The sequence below is a fragment of the Homo sapiens genome, chromosome 18, assembly GCF_000001405.40.
Source record: "Homo sapiens chromosome 18, GRCh38.p14 Primary Assembly".
NCBI lineage: Eukaryota > Metazoa > Chordata > Mammalia > Primates > Hominidae > Homo > Homo sapiens.
In genome coordinates this window covers 62,000,269-62,006,413 of record NC_000018.10, presented here as the reverse complement: position 1 = coordinate 62,006,413, position 6,145 = coordinate 62,000,269, and the positions used below count along the sequence as shown (strand labels likewise).

The window sequence follows — 6,145 nt, the reverse complement described above, 5'->3', positions numbered from 1 at the left end:
TTTAGCAAAGAGACTGGTGGTATTTTGCCTCTTCCCTAGAGATTTGTGGAACTTTGAACTTGAGAGAGATGATTTAGGTTATCTGATGGAAGAAATTTATAAGCAGCAAAGCATTCAAGAGGTGACTTGGGTGCTGTTAAAGGCATTCTGTTTTATAAGGGAAGAAGAGCATAAAAGTTTGGGAAATTTGCAGCCTGACTATGCAATATAAAAGAAAAACCCATTTTCTGGGGAGAAACAGAAGCCAGCTGCAAAAATTTGCATAAGTAGCAAGGAGCCTAATGTTAATCCACAAGACCATGGGGAAAATGTCTCCAGGCCATGTCAGAAAACTTCATGGCAGCCCCTCCCATAACAGGACTGGAGGCCCAGGAGGAAAAAGTGGTTTTGTGGGCCAGGCCCTGGGTCCACGTGCTGTGTGCAGCCTACAGACTTGGTGCCCTGTGTCCCAGCCACTCCAGCCATGGCTGAAAGAGGCCAATGTACAGCTCAGGCTGTGTGTCTTCAGAGGGTGGAAGCCCCAAGCCTTGGCAGCTTCCATGTGGTGTTGAGCCTGCAGGTACACAGAAGTCAGGAAGTGAGGTTTGGGAACCTCTGCCTAGATTTCAGAAGATGTGTGGAAATGCCTGGATGTCCAGGCAAAAGTTTGCTGCAAGAGTGGAGGCCTCATGGAGAACCTCTGCTAGGGCAGTGTGGAAGGGAAATGTGGGGTCGAAGCTCCCACACAGAATCCCTACTGGGACTACCTCTTTGCAGATGTGACTAAGGATATTGAGATGAGGGGATGATCCTGGATCATCATGGTTTTGAAATGTGAGGACATGAGATTTGGAGGGGCTGGGGTGGAATGATGTGGTTTAGCTGTGTCCCCACCCAAATCTCAACTTGAATTGTATCTCCCAGAATTCCCCCATGTTGTGGTAAGGACCCAGGCGGGTAATTGAATCATGGGGGCCAGTCTTTCCCACGCTGTTCTCATGATGGTGAATAAGTCTCACAAGACCTGATGGGTTTATTGGGGTTTCTTCTTTTGCTTCTTTCTCATTTTCTTTTGCCGTCACCATGTAAGAAGTGCCTTTTGCCTCCTATCATGATTCTGCAGCCTCCCCAGCCATGTGGAACTGTGAGTCCAATTAAACCTCTTTTTTTTCTTCCCAGTTTTGGGTATGTCTTTATCAGCAGCATGAAAAGGGACTAATGCATGTCTATTTAAGTCCTTTGCTTACTTTTGAATCAGGTTGTTTTAATTAAGGATTGCTTAAACTCTATCAGGACTATAGACACCAAGGAAGTTTGTGTGTGAAGACACTGATTTTATGCATTTTATGCTTACAAGCTAAGAATAATTTAAAAACTGTGCTCAATCATGCCAGAAGGAAAAGTGATTATTTTTCTACTTTCCTTATAGAAAATAACGGTAAAAAACAACTGAAATATAAAGAGTTATTTTAAAAGTATGCAGCCCAAATACGTAAAGATACAAATGTAGGAGTGTATCAGGCAGTTAAATAATCAAAAATATTATGGAATTTATGAATGTTACCTTAAATAGCTATTTTTAAAGAGGGGAGGAGTTTTGCAGATGTGATTAAAATAAGGATCTTGACATGAGGATATTGTCCTGGATTATCCAGGTGGGACCTAAAGGACCTTCACATTATTTATTATATTTGTCAGCTTTTAAAAACTGCAATTTGATGTGATTTTTCCCATTCTAAATGTATATTCATATTTGTATTTAATTTTAATTTTATATACTTTTTCTTTAAGATGGATGCCAAAATTGTATAAGCTTCAGGCTCTTCTGCCCACTGATCATTCCTGCTTAGTTTTCTTCCTCGATTCTTCCTTTTCTCTCTCATTTCCAAACTTTGGGGTGTCCCAGGATTCGGTTCTCAGACTTGTCACCATCTAGATTCACTCCATAGATACAGGTAGTCAGGGTTTAATCAGGGAAGCAGAATCATGATGAGTATTACTGAATGGGGCTTGTTATTGGAGTAAGACCTCATACAATTGTGTAAGAAGCTAGGGAAGGAAGGGTCTGAAAGGGGGAGTTGAAGAGATGAGAGAAAAGTCACTACCAGCCCTCCTGAAGCACTGGGGTGGGCGGACGAGTTTGTGCTTCCAAAGGCACACCCAGCTGCAAAAGTGGGACTGGGAAGGAGAGACATAGATGTCCGGGGAAGGCTGTTGCCGCCAAGCTGGCTGGTGGGCCTGGGGCTGCTGTTGTCACAGGAGAAGCTGGATGCAGTGTGGGGAAGACCGAGAGGCTGGAGTCCCCCGCCCCTCTCTGTCTGTCTCCCTCAGTATCTAATCAGACACCCCTGGAAGAACAATGGCAGCTGCTTCACTTCTACCTTCCAGTCTTATGAGAAGTTCTTTCTTGGTCAATGCTAATGTATAACCGTACAAGGAAAGAAGTTCTGGACATGTAATTACAGTTTAGCCAACTTAACACAGTTTCAGACTGCCACACTGTGTAGCCTCACTTTGTCTTATGGCTTTACATTCTACCTGTATACCAATGATTCACAACTGTATAGGCCCTGTCTGACCTTCTCTGAAATCCAGACTTAAGTCTAACTCCCTATTAAAGCACGATTTGTATATTTTATAGGGTTTTCACATTTAACATCTCCAAAACTGAGTTCGTCCTCTTATCTGAACCTATTTTTCCAGAATCTGCCTCTGAGAAATAGTGCAAAGACCAAAAGCTTTGGGGTCACCTTATTTCTTTCTCTCCCACTCAAAAAGTAATCTAAAAATCCTACAGGTTATTCCTTTAAAAAAATTCATTTTCTGATCCCTTCTATAATAAGCTGAAAAAATGCTCTCCAAAAGACTTTCATATCCTAATCTCTGGAATCTGTAAATGTTATTTTATATAGCTACTTAAAAGGGAGGGGGGAACGTCTTTGCAGATGTGATTAAGGATATTGAGATGAGGGGATGATCCTGGATTATTCAGGTGGGACCTAAATACAATGACATGTATCCTTACAAAAAGGAGGTGGAGGGAGTCTTGATAGATACAGAGGAGAAGGGGATGATGGAGCAGAGAGAGAGAGGAAGAGAGAGGCAAGAGAGAGAAAAGAGATGAGAAGATGCTGGCCTTGAAGACTGGAGTGATGCAACCACAAGCCAACATCCACCAGAGGCTGCAGGAGCCAAAGAACAGATTCCCCACTAAGCTTCTGAAGGGCATGCACCTTGCTGACACCTAAATATTGGCTCAACAATGCTGATTTGGGACTTCTGCCCTCCAGAACTGTGAGAGAATAAATGTCTGTTGCTTTATATCACCAAGTTTGCAGTACTTTGTTATAAGAAATGAATATACCTTCTTACCATTTTCTCTCCGATAACCCTGTTTCAGAGTACCCTCATCTCTTGTGTGGAGTATCACCTAGCCTCCGGTCTAATGGGTCTCTCTGTGTCTGTCCTTGTTCCACCCCCTATAGTCTAGTTCAACACAGCAGTCAGATGAATATTTGAAAATAGAAGTCAGATCATGTCACTCCTTATTCGAAAACCATCAGTTATCTCCTGTCTCATGTAGAGTAAAACCTCAATTTCTCAAATAGTAATAGTCTACACAGGCCTATGGGATTGGCTTGCTTCTGACTGGCTCACTTTATCTCTGATGCTTCATATTAGTAGCATCAGCTTCCTTGGTGCTTCTCAAGTATGCTACACGTGTTCCTGCCTCAGAACTTTGGCACTTGCTTCTTCATCTGTATAGAGTGCACTCCCTGTCTGATATGGTTTAGATGTTTGTCCCCTCCAAATCTCATGTTGAAATGTGATGCCCAGTGTTGGAGGTGGGGTCTGGTCGGGGGTTATGGGGGAGAATCCCTCATGAGTGGCTTAGCACCATCCCCTTGGTGATGAATGAATTCTTGCTCAGTTAGTTCGTGCAAGATCTGATTGTTTAAAAGAGTCTGGGACCTCCCCCTTCTCTCTCTTGCTCCTGCTCTAGCCACATGTTGTTCTTGGTTCCACTTTGTCTTCCACCATGATTGTAAGCTTCCTGAAGCTCTCACCAGAAGCCTAGCAGATGTTGATACCATGCTTGTATAGCCTGCAAAACCGTGAGCCAATTAAACCTCTTTTCTTTTTAAATTATCTGGTCTCAGATATTCCTTTATAGTAACACAAGGATGCACTAATACAGAAAATTGATACTGAAGCATGGGACATTGATATAAAGATACCTGAAAATGTGGTAGTGGCTTTGGAGCTGGGTATCAGGCAGAGGGTAGAAGAGTTTGGGGGGCTCAAAAGAAGACAGGAAGACAAAGGAAGGTTTGGAACTTCTTAGAGGCTGGTTAGGTGGTTGTGACCAAAATGCTGATAGAGATATGGACAGTGAAGTCCAGACTGATGAAGTCTCAGATGGAAATGAGGAAGTTATTGCGAACTGGAGCAAAGGTCACCCATTTTATGTTTTAGCAAAGAACTTAGCTGCATTGTGTCCATGTCCTAGGGCTCTGGAAGTTTGAACTTAACAGTGATGACTTAGGGTATCTGGTGGAAGAAATTTCTAAATAGTAAAGCATTCAAGTTGTGGCCTGGCTCCTTCCAATAGCCAGGATCAGATGTAGGAGCAAAAGAATGATTTAAAGTTGGAACCTATATTTAAAAGGGAAGCAGAGTGTAAAAATTTGGAAAAGTCACAACCTGGCCATGTGATAGAGGAAAAAAGAGCATTTTCAGGAGAGGAATTCAAGTGGGCTGTGGAGCAACCACTTGCTAGATTAGCATGACTAAAAGGAAGCCAAGTGCTAATATCCAAGACAATGGGAAAAGTCCTGGAAGGCATTTCAGAGATTTCTGAGGCAGCCCCTTCCATCATGGACCCAGAGGCCTAGAAGAAAAGAATGGTTTCAGGGGTCAAGCCCTGGGCTCTGCTTCCCTGTGCAGCCTCAGGACACTGCTCCCTGCATTCCAACTGCTCCAACTCCAGCTGCAGCTGCAGCTCAAAGGAGTCCAGGTAAAGCTTGAGCCACAGCTCTTGAGGGTGCAAGCCACAAGCCTTGGCAGTTTCCACATGGTGTTAAGTGTGAAGGAGGCTTGGAGGATTCCAGCTGGATTTCAGAGGATGGGTGGAAAAGCCTGGGTGCCCAGGCAGAAGCCTTCTGCAGAGGTGGAGCCCCCACCAGAGAAACTCTACTAGGGTGGTGCAAAGGAGAAACGTGGGGTTGGAGACTTCATGCAGAGTGCCTACCAAGGGACTGCCTAGTGGAGTGGTGGGAAGGAGGCCACCACCCTCCAGACCTGAGAATGGTTGATTCATTGGCAGCTTGCATCCTCTGTCTGGAAAAGCCACAAGCACTCAATTCCAACCCATGAGAACAGCCACATGGGCTGCACCCTGCAAAGCCACAGAGACAGAGCTGCCCAAAGCTTTGAGAGCCCACCCCTTTCACAATTGTGCCCAGGATGTGGGATATAGAGTCAAAGATTATTTTAGAATTTTAAGATTAAATGACTGCCCAACTGGGTTTCAGACTTGTTTGAGGCCTATTACCCCTTTCTTTGGCTGATTTCTCCCTTTTGGGATGGGACTGTATCCTCAATGCCTATACTACCATTGCATCTTGAAAGTAAATAATTTGCTTTTGATATCACAGCCTCATAGGTGGAAGGAACCCATCTCTAGATAAGACTTTGGACTTTGGGACTTTTGAGTTAAGGTGAGGACAAGTTAAGACTCTGGGGGACTATTGCAAAGGCACGATTGTATTTTGAAATGTGAGAAGGACATGAAATTGGGAGGGCCAAGGGTGGAATGATATGGTTTGGATGTATGTCCCCTCAAAATCTCTTATTGAAATGTGATTCCCAATGTTGAAGGTGGGTCCTAGTGGGAGGTGATTGGATCATGGGGGCAGATCCCTCATGAACAATGTATTAGTCCATTTTCATGCTGCTGATAAAGGCATACATAAGACTGGGCAATTTACAATAGAAAGAGGTTTAATGAACTTACAGTTCCACATGCTGGAGAGGCCTCACAATCTTGGTGGAAAGCAAGGAGGAGCAAGTCACATTTTACATGGATGGCAGTAGGCAAAGAGAGAGAGCTTGTGCAGTGGTACTCCTCTTTTTAAAACCATCAGATCTTGTGAGATTTATTCAC

At 43.8% G+C, this 6,145-nt stretch overlaps 2 annotated features.

Annotated features, from left to right (window-relative positions):
* Window positions 4,011-4,849: an enhancer, noted in NCBI's record as "OCT4-NANOG-H3K27ac-H3K4me1 hESC enhancer chr18:59668798-59669636 (GRCh37/hg19 assembly coordinates)". NCBI's record gives its function as "activates a minimal SCP1, AML or CMV promoter by ChIP-STARR-seq in naive H9 embryonic stem cells {active_cell/tissue: H9 hESC(naive)}" and the evidence as "EXISTENCE:reporter gene assay evidence [ECO:0000049][PMID:30033119]".
* Window positions 4,850-5,689: an enhancer, noted in NCBI's record as "OCT4-NANOG-H3K27ac-H3K4me1 hESC enhancer chr18:59667958-59668797 (GRCh37/hg19 assembly coordinates)". NCBI's record gives its function as "activates a minimal SCP1, AML or CMV promoter by ChIP-STARR-seq in naive H9 embryonic stem cells {active_cell/tissue: H9 hESC(naive)}" and the evidence as "EXISTENCE:reporter gene assay evidence [ECO:0000049][PMID:30033119]".